The sequence below is a fragment of the Homo sapiens genome, chromosome 7, assembly GCF_000001405.40.
Source record: "Homo sapiens chromosome 7, GRCh38.p14 Primary Assembly".
Classification (NCBI taxonomy): domain Eukaryota; kingdom Metazoa; phylum Chordata; class Mammalia; order Primates; family Hominidae; genus Homo; species Homo sapiens.
Genome location: NC_000007.14, coordinates 27542026 through 27559344, shown reverse-complemented (window position 1 = coordinate 27559344; position 17319 = coordinate 27542026). Strand labels below are relative to the sequence as shown.

The 17319-nt window shown below is 37.2% G+C and overlaps 1 protein-coding gene across 4 annotated transcripts in view; it reads left to right on the top strand.

Annotated features, from left to right (window-relative positions):
• The window catches only part of HIBADH (3-hydroxyisobutyrate dehydrogenase), a 137442-nt gene that overhangs the window by 103539 nt on the left and 16584 nt on the right, over positions 1 to 17319 (top strand). For all 4 annotated transcript variants that reach the window (NM_001430749.1, NM_152740.4, XM_047419834.1 and 1 more), the window contains one exon: positions 16245 to 16378. In NM_001430749.1, the coding sequence (NP_001417678.1) occupies positions 16245 to 16378 (134 nt within the window). The remainder of the gene's footprint in view (positions 1 to 16244; positions 16379 to 17319) is intronic.

The following is a 17319-nucleotide window of genomic DNA, read 5'->3' as shown; positions in this document are numbered from 1 at the left end:
CAGCCTAAATACAGTTTTAAGCTGTGGTTTTGGGTTGATTTGTGGGCTCCCAAAATTCATATGTTGAAATCCTTAACCCAAGTATCTCAGAATATGACCATCTTGGAGATACGGTCCTCACAAAGGTAATGAAGTTAAAGTGAGGTCATTAAGGTGGGCCTTAATTTAATATGATTGTTCTCCTTACAAAAAGGGGAAATTTAGACACACACATAAAAGGAAGATGATGGGAAGACACAGGGAGAAAACAGTCATCCACAAACCAAAGAGAAAATCCTGAAACAGATCCTTCCCTCACAGCCATCCAAAGGAACCAATCCTGCCAACACCTTAATCTGAGACTTCTAGCCTCCAGGACTGTCAGACAGTAAATTTCTGTTGTTTAAGCCACCCAGTTTGTGGTACTTTGTTATGATGGCCCTGGCAAACTAATACAGCTACCATTTCAAACTTGAAAATATTCTGCTGGATAGTTTTAAGATCAGAGAAGTTTTAAGCTAAAATAAATGAAAATGAGAACATTTTACATAAAAAATATGAGGGCTCCTCCTTTCCTGAATGCGATTTGGCCCCCTTATAAAGCTAAAACTGTGGAAGAGATTTTATAGACTAAATGCTTGTGTTTTGTTTTGTTTTTGTTTTTTGTTTTTGAGACTGGGTCTTGCTCTGTGGTCCAGGCTGGAGTGCTGGAGTGAATATGGCTCACTACAGCCTCAACCTCCTGGACTCAAGCAATCCTCTTGCCTCAGCCTCCTATGTAGCTGGGACCGCAGGTGGATTGCTTGAGCTTAGGAGTTTGAGACCAACTGGCAAATGGCAAGACGCCATCTCTACAAAAAAATACAAAAAAGTAGCTGGGTGTGGTCATGCCTGTCTGTGGTCCCAGCTATTTGGGAGGCTGAGGTGGGAGGATTGCTCGAGCCTGGGAGTTGGAGGTTGCAGTGAGTCGAGATTGTACCACCACACTCCAGCCAGGGTGACCGAGCGAGACCCTGTCCCCCCAAAAAATGGAAAATAAGCAGATCCTCTAAAACTCAATAAACTAGAATAAAACAAATATAAATCTATTTAAATAAGAAGAGAAATGTGACAAATGTGGTAATTGGAATTAATTAGGAAATTAGTTAACAACAAGAAAAATAGAGTCATTGAATAAAACCAAGAACTGGTCTTTCAGAAGACAAATCTTTAAGAAGTTTCACCAAGAAAAATAGAAACCATAAGCATCAAGAATAAGATAAGAGATTGCACACAGATATGGATGAAATAAGGAATTATAAGTTTGTGGGCAGAAAAATGGAAAGTCCAGAAGAAATAGGTGATTTTCTAGAAAAAAATGTTACCAAAATTGATTCAAGAAGAGGTAAACACATGAGTAAACTTCCAACGACCAGAGATATTCAGACAGCCATTACTAAGAAGGAACAAAGTAAAGATGGTTTTAAAAGACAAATCTTATGTAGTCTTCAAGTAATACTTAGTTCTTGTATATTGTGCTACGGTTTGAATGTGTCCTCTCCAAAATTCAGGTGTTAATACTTACTGGCCAATGTAAAGATATTAAGAGGTGGGGTCTTTAAGAGGTGATTAGGTCATGAGGGTTCCTCCTTTCCTGAATGGGATTAGGCCCCCTTATAAGAAGCTTAATGGAGGGATTTTGTTCTGCTTGCCCTTCTGTCTTCTGCCATGTGAAGACACAATGTTCCTCCCCTCTGGAGGGGATACAGCAACAAGCTGCCATCTTGGAAACAGAGAGCAGCCCTCACCAGACAACTGAACCTGTTGGTGCCTTGATCTTGGACTTCCCAGCCTCCAAAACTGTGAAAAAATACATTTCTGCTCTTTATAAATTTCCCAGTCTGTGATATTCTGTGATAGGAGCACAAAACAGACTAAGACAATATGTAACTATATAATATAGTTTAATATTATTCTTGGTTCTGAGGTCTAGAATAGTACTTAACAAATTTAACAAGAAATGTGTAAGACCTATATGAGGAAGATGACAAAACTATAAAGGCAAAATAAGATCTGAATAAATGGAGACACCACTTATCTGCTTGGAAAAGCATGTAAACATGTCCATTCTCTTGAGATAATATATAAATTGTAATGCAAAACCGTGTTATTTCTTAAAAAAAAAACCTTAAGCTCATCTGGGAGAATAAGTAAATAAAAAATGCCAATTTTTTTTTTTTTCCTTTTTAGACAGGGTCTCACTCTGTTGTTCAGGCTGGAGTGCAGTGGTGTGAACATGCCTCGCTATAGCCTCAACCTCCTAGGCTCAAGTGATCCTCCTGCCTCAGCCTCCTGAGTAGCTAGGACCACAGGCATGTGTTACCATGTTCAGCTAATTTTAAAAATTTTTGTCAAGACAGGGTCTCACCATGTTGCACAGGCAGGTTTCCTGGGCTCAGGCTCTATCCTCTTCTATCCTCCTTTATCCTCTATCCTCCTGCCTTGGCCTCCCAAATATTATAGGCACCTGCCCAAAAAAATTTTTTAATAAGACAATTAGGACTCCATAAATATCAGAACACAGTATAAAGTTACAGTGATTAAAACAGCATCATATTTGTTCAAGAACAGACAGACTGGGAGACAGAGTTAAGTCCCCAAACAGACCTTTGTATGTATAGGTACTTAGAATCTGAGTAAGGCAATCAGATCAGTGGGGAAATGAATTCTTTAATAAATTGTGTTAGGACAATTCATTGTGGGGAGCAGATCCCTACTTCACCCCATACACTGAAAATAAATAGCAGATGGATTAAATAACTGATTGTTTTAAAAAATGTGTAAGAAGGCCAAAGAAATGTCTAAGAGAATTCTTTCAAAATCTTAGAATGAGGAAAACCTTCTGAAGCAAGACAAATAATAAAAAACCATTAAAAAATTAACAGATCCAAGAATTGAAAACACACACACATCTTTGTGACAAAAAGAAAAGTTAAAAGGCAACAACAGACTGAGGGAAATTATTTGCAAAATATATAACAGAGTAGACATAAAATCTATAATTAACAAGAAAAAGACCAAGAATCAGGAGAAAAGTAAAGAAACATGATAGGCAGTTTACTGAAGAGGAAACCCAGTGAACTATGTAAAAAGATACTCGACTTTTCTAGAGGACACAGAATGACTATCGTGTATCAAGCATTGCTTATGTAGTCTTTCACAGTCCTGTCGAAGCAGATATTATTAACAAGTGAGAAAACTGAGTCTTAGAATTAGTAACTTATGGTGGACGTTTTTTCAAATACTGTAATTTATCAAAGTGGAATGTTTTTTGCATTAAGTTAAAATCCTTTCTGTATTCTCTAATTCACGACTATCTTTAAATTTTGTTTTCAGAATACACTTGAAGGTGTTTATTTAGTATGCCCCTTGAAGAGAAAGGGCAAGGAAAGAAATGCAGTTGGCTACCCTTGATCATGTGACCCTAACAGGTTAAGCTTTCAGGACACACACTTGCATGCATATATATTTGACTTGAGAAGATAGACATGATTTTTACGAGGATTTGTTTCTGTTCTACTTTGGCAAATACTGCATGAATCATGTCTCTAGATTTTGACTGGCTGGGTACTTTTTTTATATGCCTGAACTTCTTGACATAGTATTGAATTGTCTTTCAAGTGATCCAAATAAATAATACATATCTATACATTTATATCACTGTAAATTTGGAAATGCTGCCATAAGTGGGTAATGGTAACATCATAACTGAATGGACATGCAGGAGACCAATTTGGGGTCTATTTGAGGAGAGGGTAGGGGGACAAAAGGTGTTTGGACATGTTGAATTCATTGTGCTTCTGAGGGCCAGTAGTAAGAATTAGCTGATAGATAGTTGAAATTTTGACTCTAGACTTGGAACTGACAAGTTGAGTCTTGTCTTTGTACTCAGTGTTCTACTGAAACAAGTTGTATGTAGTCAGGAGGTGGGTTGTATTAAGGGCTGAGGAGGGAGAAGGCCATTATCCATAATAGGTTTATGTATTTGGCTTAGTCTTTATTTAAAAAAAAAAAAAAAAAAAAAGTAGAGCAAGAAATGTTCCTTTTGCTGTGATTGGTTCTCATGAAACCGGAAGAACAGTTCTCCCCACTTAAATTACCACCATTAAGCAGTGGTTGCCTTTATCACATATACAGAATTCTGTAAAAATTTTATTCCAAGGTTTTAGTCCTTGAAGTAGACCAAAAATAAAATAATTTTTAAACTACTTCCCAGAGGAGTGTTTTTCTGCTCAATAAGGAAACAGTCACATGGCATTCAAACTCTATACAAGCAGTACTGTGTCCTTTGTCCTCACGCAAATCTGGTTAGTTACCTTTCCTTAATGTTATGTTAATGCACCATCAGAAATGGTTGCAAAAGGCTATGCATTGGCTGAGGGGCTACCAAGAATGGCAGAGTGGACCATACTCAACTCATTGTAGGAGTTGGCACCCTCTTCAACTGTACCCCAACCCCAAAATATGAGAGTCCACATTTTCAAGGGATTTTCACATGAAAGAGATAATTCCTGGTTAGCCAAGTGTAGCTTATTAGCACAGCCTTCTCTTAATCTTTAGTTTTCTGCTGTCCCCAGTTTTCTACTGTTTGCTGCCGGGTTATCATCTTGCCTTTTGCTTATTTCTTCTTACTCTCTTCCCTCTCTCCTCTGACAGCCATTACTTCTGTATACCTACCCTCAAAGTTATAACAGAACTCATGTGAATAATCAGTTCTCTTTAAAATAGAGGGCACATGATTATTATGCCTGTTTTTCTTCTCAAGCAAACTAGACAGGGAATAGGGATGGGAGGATACCCAGAAGGGTGTGGTATTGGTGGTAATTGGATTACTGAGAATTTGGTTATTGGCCTTGTTTTACTTTGTGATTGTTAATGCTGAATGAAAGGATGCATGTGAAACTTACAGGAAAATAGCCAACTCCAATCACAGAAATGTTACAAACCACGTGTTGCCTAAAGAAAGTAAAATAGAAGGACATAATGATTACAAGCTATTTGGCTTTTTTTTCCTCTTATTTGGCTTTTAAAAATGACTTTTGGCTGGGCGCGGTGGCTCGCGCCTGTAATCTCAGCACTTTGGGAGGCTGAGGCAAGTGGATCACCTGAGGTCAGGAGTTCGAGACCAGCCTGGCCAACATGGTGAAACCCTGTCTCTACTAAAAATACAAAAATTAGCCAGCTGTGGTAGTGGGCGCCTGTAATCCCAGCTACTCAGGAGGCTGAGGCAGGAGAATCACTTGAACCCGGGAGGTGGAGGTTGCAGTGAGCTGGGATCGCACCACTGTACTCCAGCCTAGGCAAAAAGAGCGAAACTCCATAAACACAAACAAACATACAAACCCAGCTACTTGGGAGGCTGAGGCAGGAGAATCGCTTGAATGCAGGAGGCAGAGGTTGTAGTGAGCCAAGATCACACCCTTGTACTACAGCCTGGGCGACAAGAGCAAAACTCCATCTCAAATAAATAGTAAAAATAAAAATGACTTTTAAAGCTGAAAGATACGTTATTTGCAAGACGGAGTTTTAAAAATCATATTCTCCAGGGGCATTAAGTTAACTGTCTTTGTGCTCCAGCTATTTAGCTTTCAGGAGTTTAGTGTTTTATTGTAAACCGACATTGTGCACCATCTTGATCTGAGGTGAATGCCAAGGAATTGCTTTTTAAAGTGATTTTTAGAATAAAAGAAAACCATTTCATCTCTGATTTGCCCTCCCTTTAAAAACCCCACTCTGCATTTCTGTCTTACGGCTTCTGTACTGCATCAGTCCTCCTCAAGCCAGCCAGCTCCATGCGGAACATTCTGTTGCTCTTTCAGCATAAGCAGGTCTATTGTGATATTTATCTGAATTCAGGCAAGGCTAATTAAAAGAGCTGCTGACAGTTGTTGTGATCTGACTTTGACTGCAGCTTGATGGTCATTATGGGTAAATAATGAACCAGGTCTGCAAATGTAGCAGCTGCCAACTTGGGATAGAAGAACGGCTATTGCTTCCAATTTAAGGATCTATCGACCGCTTCTCTTCTCCCTGCAGATCTTCTGCAGAAAACTAATGTTTTCTGCTGCTGTGTATTGTGGTTTCAGCTGTTTCAGATATAGCCTATAATTTCCTTCTTTAATATTTAACTTAGGACATTATTAGCTTTCAGAGTTAACAACTTTTCTATTTTGAAGAATCTCAGCTTTGTCCTTGTGTAGGCTTTAGCTAATCAGCTATAGTTTATTTATATGCATTTAATTTGTGTGTTGTGCAGGAAATGGCTAGTCTGTAAGAGCAAGGTATAGCTTTATTAAGATGTTTCACAATCGTATATAGGTATCTCTTCTAAAAAAAGAGATAGATGCATGTCCCTTGCTTTTGTTTTCTTAAACACCTACCAAATCTCAGTTTTGAATTTTGTTCACTTTGTCAATGGCTTATGAAATATTTTGATGCAGAGCTCTATTTATCAATTCAGAGGAACTGCTGCAGTGACTTTCATTAAAATGCAATACTGAATATATTGTCACTCCATCATGAGCTTTTCCTTGTCCTATTAGCAAGTAGGAACAGGTGCATTAAGGTAAGAGAGAAGGCAAATTGCATTCATAGATTAGTATTCTTCCTGCAGATTTTTCATACTTGTGAAATACAGTTTCTGGATTTAAAAGTCATATTCTAGAATTTAACACAAGCCAGCACTTAACAACACATCCCTAGCGTTTATTCAACTGCCATAGAAAAGACTGTCTGCGTTATGTAAAGTCTGAGGATACAGTGGTGCTTTGTGCATAATGCAGCAGAGCTTTGAGATCTTGCTGGGAGGAAATGATCCCAAACATGCCCCTGAAAGACAAGCCTTACTCTGAAAAATAATGATGAAAAATTGCTTATTTCTTCATGTATTTGTGTCTGTGTTTATTTCAGGAAAAGCTAACTAAACTTTGTTTATCTGACTCCAGAAGAGTGCTGTGAGTGTTTTTGCTTTTCTGTTTCCAGCTTGGATAATGCCAGAAATAGTGTTAACAAGGGGTTATGTTATGCTGGCTTATGTTAAACCAGATCACCCCTAACATGTGCAAAGCCATTCATCTGTGTCACCAAAACCCAAGAGAACATCTGACATGGACTCTGAAACAGAAACAGTGATCACTTACAAATCAAACATGGCACGCTCTAAACTGATTGTGCACGGCAATCTTTTCTAGAAAGGACAACTAATTGAACATGATAAAGTGTAAAGTTAATTAACACCCTTAAATTTGTTGATTACTTTCACGGGATTATATTGTTCGTTGAGTAGCAGCTTTCTGTCCCAGCTGTCGCCTTTTTCTGCGAATGTCGCTGGTAAACAATAGAGACACCATAGCAAGTCGTAAATGGTCCCTGTGACAGCAGCCCCTTGTGAGGCTGCATCTGTAGAAAATGATTAGAACAATTGCATTTTAAAGATGGCTCACATTGCAGCCCAAGTCCCATTGGTCCTCTTCTTGATCTCTTTTGATGGCACACTGGTTAAAACATTTAAGTTCTTTTGAGTAAATTAAGTGATTTACTATGTTTGGCTATATATCAATGGAAGTGCTTTGGTGGCAATGTTTTTACAGTATTAAAGACAAATATAATTTGAATTGTACTTTTTAGTTTTCCATCTCTTCCCTCTTTGGATTTGAAGCCTTCTTTCTAATAGTCATAGAATTGAAAATGATCTCCTTATTTGTAACTTGGGAGTAGTTCGTCTAAGTTATCAGCACCTGCATCATGGTTTATCTATCATAATTCTTTGGGTCAGCTTTTCAGTAAGGCTAAATTCCAAATTTCAGCTCTTTCCTACTGTTAGATCAAAGACTTCGACATGTTTAAGCTGAATGAATTTACTTGTTATGTTTAAATTTTTTATAACATTTGTGTAATAGCTATATACCTTTCCAATGTATTGTTTCATTTGAGTGTCAAAGTTAGTATGGCCAGTGTTTTTATCACTGTTTTCAGATGAAGAAACCAAGATTGAGAGGTGTTATAACTTGTCCAAGAGGTGTGACCCTGCACTGTGATTTCTTTCCAAGTCTTTTAACTCAATCACGTTTTTCACTTTTAACTCCTCATAATAATGTCCTCATACATGTACACTTAGCTTATGCATGTTTATGTAGCAGTAAGTGAAAATGCCATTACCACATGTAAAGAATCATGCTGCCCCAAAGTTGAGCTTTTAAAAAAGTAATTGACAAAAAAAAATTGTATATATTGTGTACATGTTATAAAATATGTATACATTGTAGATTGGCCAAACTGAGCTAGTTAATTACCTCACATACTAACCATCTGTGTGTATGTGTATGTGTGTGTTTGGTGTGGTGTGGTGAAGTTACTTAAAAATCTACTCTCAGTAATTTTCAAGATTACAATAAACACATTGATACTAAAAAGAGCTTTTTGATAAACTAGAAAATATTAAGTCTTAATGAGTCTTAATGAGTATTCTTGGTCATTTTATTAGCCATTGATATCTGCCTGCCTACTAAGAAGAAAATTAACATTTATCAGACACATGCCATGTGCTGGGTGCAAAGATTCAAACAGCTCATGACAATAAGGATCTTAATAAGACACACCAGAAAAATCATTGATTAGAGTAGTGTAAGTGCTTTATTAGAGATATCACCAGGAATGTTTTAAGAATAGAGAAAGGGGGGTCATGAAATACTTCTGAGTTGTCATGAGTTGAGTCTTGAAAAATAAGCAGGAGTTAGCCAGGCAAAGAAGGCAGAGAAGGGTATTTCATGTGAGGGAACAGCCCAAGATAGGCATGGGTGCATGAAAAATCATTGCACATTCTGGCCATTGCAAATAGTTTTCAGTGTGCATTGAGTGGTAGTTTTTGTTGCAAGGGTTAGATGAGGAGACCAGAGAAGTAATTAGGATTCACTGACAAGGAAAATAAAGATTTAAAAATCAGAGCTCATTTAAGGAGAGAAGAGAAAATTCATTGCTTCCTACAACTGAAGACAGAAGAGAGGGTACAGTGAGTTATGTAGTTCTCCTTTTTGCTGAAGCATAAATATACAGGTACTTCAGAAAGAATAACTTAATGGAGAAAAAATGGGAGGAACTTTGAGATTATATAAGAAATGCTGGCTGGGCGTGGTGACTCATGCCTGTAATCCCAGCACTTTGGGAGGCCGAGGCAGGAGGATCATGAGGCAAAGAGATCGAGACCATCCTGGCCAACATGGTGAAACCCCATCTCTACTAAAAATACAAAAAAATTTAGCTAGGTGTGGTGGCACGCGCCCATAGTCCCAGCTACTCGGGAGGCTGAGGCAGGAGAATCGCTTGAACCTGGGAGGCAGAGGTTGCAATGAGCTGAGATTGTGCCACTGCACTCCATCCTGGCGACTGAGCGAGACTCCATCTCAAAAAGAAAAGAAAAGAAAAGAAATGCTAAGTAATAGTGAATAATGTTTTCAGTTACTGGTTATTTTCATGTTAATGTATAACTTAAGCCTTGAGCCTGTTTTCATTCTTATATCAAATAAAACTGCCCAAAGATTAGGAGACAGATTAGCATAAATGTTAGAATGAGGTGATGTAAGTTTTACTTCTTTTATAGGTATAAGGCTAAGATTAGCCTGAAAAGGGTATAAAGCAAGAACCAAGCTTCAATTCAGTTTATCTTGGGAAAAAAGGTCACTATTTTTGATGCAAAAATGTGAAAACATTGTTCATTACTTCATTTACTGTTCCTGCATGAAGTTCCAAATGAGAATTTTTAAAAAATATGTTAACTGAGTTCAAGGAAAATATATGCTTGCTCTCAAATAGAGTTTCCCAAGACTTGTAGGATACTCAGATCTATATTTGAGATTTGTTGTGAGATACTATGGTTTCTTTTTTTATTCTTAATACTGATTTTGTTTTCCTTTGAAAATTCGATTTCATTTTTTAATTGACAAAAATTGTATATATTTAGCATGTACAACATATTTTGAAAGATGTAAATATTGTGGAATGGCTAAACCGAACTAATTAACATATGCATTACCTCACATACTATTTTTGTGATAAAAGCACTTAAAATCTACTCTCAGCAATTTTCAAGAATACAATACATTGTTATTAACTATAATCACCATGTTGTACAGTAGGTCTCTTGAACTTATTTCTCCTTATTTCTGATTTTCTAAAAGCTCTCTATTTTTTTTGCTCTGATAAGCAAACCCACATTGATTGTGAAGAGTGGTGGAGTATTATGTGCATTTAGATAACAGGCAGAACTCAGCGTCTAATAAAAAGCATACCAGATTACTTGCTCAGTTCATGTTAAACTGCTCTGAACTAGATTCACAAATGGATTCAGAATACCTGTATTCTCATCAGTTTTTATATGCCTACCTACAGTTGACAGCAAGAATATTACTCTTCAAGAACAATATCTTGTTTTTTCACCCCTTCTCTGAGAATTCATTATTCTTTCAATGACGAGGGTTGAAAAATGAAAGGAAAGGGGGAATCAGGATTTGGTGGCGATTGCCCTCATTCATCTGACACTTGGTATGTGATGCTACCTTTTGGCATTTTCTTCTGGTTATACATCTCTTTTCCCTAATTATATTTTGGATTTTTTGAGTGCAAAGACTAGGTTTTATATCTACCATGACCTTAGTTTTGGACTGTCTGTGATGGTCATATTTCAAGTAGTTTCTGAATATAACAGAAAACAAGTCCTTATTTTTGATTCAGCAAATATGTTTACTCGTTGAATCTTTACACATAGCACAGAGATCTAGCAAGTTGTTAAAGGCACTGAATAAATATTTGCTGATGATATTTTTCCTCTTTGGACCTTTGTACAACTGTATGCCCTCTAATAGCATGAATCTGACTTTTTTATTAGCTATATGTATTTTCCTTATCCCTTCCCCCACCTCCATTCTCCAACTTCTCCCTCCCCCCAACCATCACAAGCACAAGATTTCAAACTCCTTGAGAACAAGGATTGTTTCTTCCTCATTCTCAGGGTTGAGGACCACTGAAGAATGGATCTCCAGTGATCACATTTTTGATGTCAACTATAAGTAGGTGTGGAAGGGAAGAAAGAAGGCAGTTTAGCAAATGGAGTCCTCTATGATACTTTTTTTTTTTTTTAAGAGAGAGAGAGGCTGACTTAGAGGATTTGTGCTTAGATTTAAAAGTGCTTCTCCACTATAAGGCTTATTAAAATCAAAACAGACTACCACGAGAAGTGACAGATGTCTATCACTTTAAAATCAGGGTAGTCAGCTACCCATTTTGCATAGTTTGGGCATTTGCTTTTTCATTTATTTGTACAAATGAGTTCAATGTTTCTGATTGTAGTATTATGGGAGAGAAACACTAGAGACATCATCACAGGAAAGTGTTAGAAAAAGCACTAAAGGCAGCCACAAATATTTAGGCTTTTTAGAGTTAATGTAGTTACATGAGAAAATTTTCTTTTTTCTCATTTGGAACAATTTTTTTGTGCAAAGTAAAACATGCCATAGTTTTGTGTATTAATATAATAAATGTGGGAAAGTGGATGATTATGAACTTGAAAACCCAAAATTATCATAGAATTTCAAAAGCTTAAAAGGAATTCAGTGATGATTTTCTCTAACCACTTCACATCCTAGATGAAGAAACAGGGTGAGCAGCATTTAATGACTTGCTGGAATGATAGAAATGCTTTGTCTGTAATCCTTGGCATCTTGTGCATATCTTGTGAGAGCAGTTATCACATGGTATTACAGTCGTTGTCTGTTTCCTTGAGACTTTCCTTCTCTCTTGCCTCCTGAGAATCTCTTATGTACTAGAGCTAGTGGATGTGAGTGAATGAGCCAACAATCACTGCCCTCATGGAGGTAGTGTTATTCTAGGGGATACAGACCAGAAACAAATGAAACTGTTAAAGAGGTGATAAATGCTATGAATAAAATTGAAGCAGGAAAAGGAGAGAGTGATGAGATGCTATTTTAGATTGTTAGGTTGAGTGGTCAGGGAAGGCCTCTCTGAAGAGGTGAATTTTGAACAGAGGCCTGAATGAACTAAACTATACCAGTCATGAGTATCTGGGGGAAGAACATTTCAGGCAAAAGGAATAGCAAGTTCAAGGCTTTGAGATGGGAACATACTTCACCTGTTTCAAGAACAGCAAGGAGTGCAAGGTGGCTGGAAAGCAGCAAGTGATGGGAAGAATGATATGAAATGAAATAGGAGAGGTAGCCCAGAGCCACATCATGTAGGGCTTTGTAGGACTTGGGATTTTATACTGAGAGGGCTAGGAAGTCTTTGGAGGGTTGGGAATAGGGAACAAACATGAGCTGGGTGAACTAGATTTATATTTTAAGAGGATTCCTCTAGCTGCTATATGGAGAACAGACTACAGAGACAAGAGGAGAAGAGAAATAAAGTAGGAGACTATTGCAGTAATCCAGGCAGGAGTTACCTGTAGCTCAGACCGTGGTAGTAGGGATGGACAGTGAGAGAAGTGGCTGAATCACCAGTGTGTACCTTCTTAGGAGCAGGGACATTTGTGATTCATCCTTCACCCAAGGGCTTACCACAGGGCCTGATTCTTAGCAGGTGCCCAGTTAATTGTGTTGAATAGATAAAACAAATGCAGATTTCTTGTCTTTCCCATTCACTATGCTGCCAGAGAAAGATTTTGCAAGAAGTCTTCACAGTGATGTCATCTTAACATAGTGGCTGTAGACCACTAAAGTTCTTCTTGACCTGTGCCAGCCTACTTCTGTTATTTATAGGTGCGGCCCAAACCCGCTAATACTTAAAAAGAGGGGCTAAAATTATCCCAGAGAAGACAATGGCTTAAGTAACTAAATAGGAAAATGCCCACTTCACAAATTCAAGTTAAAAAGTAGTAAGCCCTTACATTTAAATAGCATTTTTAGCTGGTCACGGTGCTCATACCTGTAATCCCAGCACTTTGGGAGACCAAGGCAGGAGAATTGCTTGAGCCCAGGAGTTTGAGACCAACCTGGGCAATAAAGTGAAACCCCATCTCTACCAAAAACAACAACAACAACAACAAAAACAAATAGCCAGGCACAGTGGCACATGCCTGTAGTCCGAGCTACTCGAAAGGCTGAGGTGGGAGGATTGCTTGAGCCTGGGAAGTTGAGGCTGCAGTGAGCTATGATCATCACACTCCAGCCAGGGTGACAGAGTAAGACCCTGTCTCAAAAAATAAATAAATAAATAGCATTTTTATTTTACAGCATACATTCACATATTCACAGCCAATCTATGAAGAAGTTATTAATACTTTTCCTGTTTTATACACTGAGACTCAGAAGTTAAATAATTTGTCACACAATTTGCCAGCAAGTGGCACATCCCCAAAACAAAATATAACATTTCCAGATCTTTTACCCTTTCTACCATGCTATTTATCAGCCAACCATTTGTTGAGTATATCATGCACTATAATAGATAATGGGGATGCTGGCAAGCCATGACCTCAGTGCTGACTTTTTAGGAAGTTTATAATGGAGGAATCAGACAAGAAAATCCAAGATTTTAATAAAGTATGATAAATGCTGTAATAGAATCAAGCACAGGGTGGATTTTGGTTTTGTATATATAATTAATAAAATATATGTAAAATAAGTATTTCTTTCAGTATTCTAGCAACTACCCGAGTATGCATTGTGTGTTTTTCTATTTTAGAAAATGGACTAGAATCAAAATGGCGTGTCATTGTAATAAATTTCTTCATTTTTGATAGACATAAACATCTATACAATGTCTCCTGAAATCCATAAGCTGTCTTACACAGTTTTAGAGTCGCAGCTTTCTAGGTATTCTTTCCTAAGTTCAAAATGGTTACATTTATTTCAGGATAATTTCAGTCTTTTTGTTTTGTTTTTGAGACAGGGTCTTGCTCTGTTGTCCAGGCTGGAGTGCAGTGGTGCGATCTCAGCTCACTGCAGCCTCCACCTTCTGGGTTCAAGCAATCCTCCATCTCAGCCTCCTGAGTAGCTGGGACTACAGGCACATGCCACCATGCCCAGCTAATTTTTGTATTTTTTGTAAAGACGGTTTCGCCGTGTTGCCCAGGCTGGTCTCAAACTTCTGGGCTCAAGCAGTCCACCAGCCTCAACCTCCCAAAGTGCTGGGATTACAGATGTGAGCCACTATGCCTAGCTAATTTAGGTCTTTGGCTGTGGGACTAGGCTTGATAGTGTTATATGATTAAAGGAATATGTATGAGAAGATAAGATTTGGTTCCAAGGAATGTCAAAACTTTAGAATTACCCATTTTAGTTAGATGCTTACTTTGGGATGTAGGTTATGATGAAGTCGGAAATAATTATGATACCACATCAATATGAGGAAAGAGTCGAACTACCACAGACCTCTGAATTAAAAGATAAATTATTCTTTCTTTTGTGGTCTTCTCTTGCTTAAGCAACTTATTTCTGCTTTTTAAAATATGTGTTTGAATAAGTGAGAAAGTACACCTGTCAAAAGACTAACCAGCTGAGAACCATTGTCAGCATTAATTTTTTTTAAATAAATGACTCCGAAGCTATTTAGCAGTCTGTAATCTAAATACAAAGCAAAACTATTGATCTATGATGGATAGTGCTGGATTTGCTTGTAAGCTTTGACTTAAATCGTCTACTTAATTTCTCTAGGTGAGATCAACAGGATTAGGAGGAATGGTGGTTATATGGTTTAAATAAAAATGTCTAGAAATTGAGCGAAATAATTATAAAACATTAATGGTTTACCATCTTGATAAAGTAAACTAGAAACTAACAAAACAGCAGTCACTTTAATGTTATAAGAATGTTTGAATGACATAGATTGGCTAATTGAAAGCATTTTTTATAAATTGGGTTTTTGTATATAATCCAAAGTGAAGATATTGTAAAATGGTGTAATTTAACCATATGTGTGAGCATCTCAGGTTTTCATAACATGTGGGCACTCACTCTTCCAAGATTGTTTGGCTAGCATAATGCTGACTTTTTTGGCTTTTAATAATTGCTTATGAATAGTATAAACTGTAAAATAGAAAGCTATTTGATTTGACAATAGCAAAATATTCACAATTTGAATGAAATAGGTATCTCTTCACTTGGGCTTTTAAAAAATATATAAATACTGTATTTCATTGAACACATTAAATCCAAAAGCAGGCCATTACCTGCAGCTGTCTAATGGCCAGATTTGATACATACTACAGACAATTACAGTTTCTTTGTTCTTACTGTACTGTAAAATAAGTTCTTCCACATACTTGCCTGGGAAGTTTTGAAAAATAAAGCCTAACTTGAAAATTATGAATCAAGATTTCTTTCAATATTAAAAACAGTAATAGCGCTCTTGGTTTTATTTTATAGTTAATAAAAATTTAGATGAATGAAGCTTTTCCTCTCCCTTTTAGGACAAGTCTAGATTATATTTTCTGTGCTAAATTGAAGGTTCTTTCTCCAATCATTAGAATGAATGAACATGCATTAAGCCTCTGTTAAAAGCTACTAAGGAGTAGTGAAGTCAGTGTTAAAGTTTATTTCTTCTTCTTGCTCATATCACTAAAAATAAATTGCCCAAAAGATGTATAGCAGGAAGGAAAAGAAAAATCAAATAATATTGAAAAGTACATATGAGAATAATCAGTCAAAATAAGCAAAGTTTTCCTTGCCTTAAAAAAAGAATCTACCATCTGAAATGCCTACTTGTTTAAGGAACAAAGAGCCAGGTCTCCCTCTTTGTAGATCTCACTTATAGATAGTATTTGGAGAGTGGGTGAGTGAGCAAGAACCCCGAATCCAAACGTGGGCAGCAGACCTCTCTCTGGCTGCTCCTTTGCTGATCAGGGCCCAGGTAAAACTTTTTTTTTGTATACTTTCTATAACTTAGTAGGTTTCTTAGGAGAATAATAGATGCATGGGAATAATAACATTTACATTTTAAGTTCCCTTATCTGTTAGGCCATGATTGTGCCAAAATGATTAAGGTGAGTTGAGATTGAGAGTACAACTGAATCTGTATGTCTCTCTTGGTTTGTGATTAATCTGGGTGATACTTGATTGCTGAATATTTCTGTAGAGATTTAGAGTATCTTATACATGCCTGGCATAAATACAGATTGGAGGCAGGATGTTTTTAGTTGGTTTCTCTAATTTTATTACCTGCCTAAACATTTTAAGAAATATATTCTTTTGCTTCTATCCCTTTACCCCCAAATGATTCAGGTGTAGGAGCTGCACGATCTGGGAACCTCACGTTTATGGTGGGAGGAGTTGAAGATGAATTTGCTGCTGCCCAAGAGTTGCTGGGGTGCATGGGCTCCAACGTGGTGTACTGTGGAGCTGTTGGGACTGGGCAGGTAAGATTTTTACATTAATGACCTTGACTTGATGATGTAAAATTGACTAATGTTCCTTTCTCTTTCCTGACCATATTTTTATTCTTCTTTCTTCAACCTATGGATTCTTTGCTCAGATTTTAAAACATTTATTTGGAATAAATTAGTTTTGCATCATTCCTGGTGGGCTTAAGCAGACATCAGCCAATTTACTTATTTAAAAAACTTCCATTATTGGCCAGACGTGATGGCTCATGCCTGTAATCCCAACACTTTGGGAGGCTGAGACAGGAGGATCACTCAAGCCCAGGAGTTTGACACCAGCCAGGGCAACATAGTAAGACCCCATCTCTACAAAGAACAAAAAAATTAGTCGAGTGTGGTGACACACACTTATAGTCACAGCTACTTAGGAGGCTGAGGTGGGGGGATCACCTGAGCCCAGGGGTGGGGGATTGAGGCTGCAGTGAGCCATGATAGAGCCACTGCAGTCAGCCTGGGTGATAGAGCAAGAACCTATCTCAAAAAAAAAAAAAAAAAAAAAAAAAACGGGAAAAAAAATTCATTATTAGGATCTTGACATGTCTGTCATCCCAGCAACTAGTGAAATCATCCTTAAAACTGCTCTTATTCGAAGTGCTTGTTTCTGAGTTGCTATTTTCCTCCATCTAATTTTGTAATTACAGTTGACCCTTGAACAACACAGATTTGAACTCCATGGGCCCACTTATACATCTATTTTTTTTCCATAGATATATTGAAAATTTTTTTGAAGATTTGTGACAGTTTGAAAAAACAGATGAACCACATGGCCTAGAAATATCAAAAACATTAAGAAAAAGTTAGATATGTCGTGAACGCATAAAATATATGTAGATAGATACTAGTTTATAAATATGCACAAATCTGTTATAAAGAGTTAAAATTTATCAAAGTTTACAAATATTTATAGACCATACATG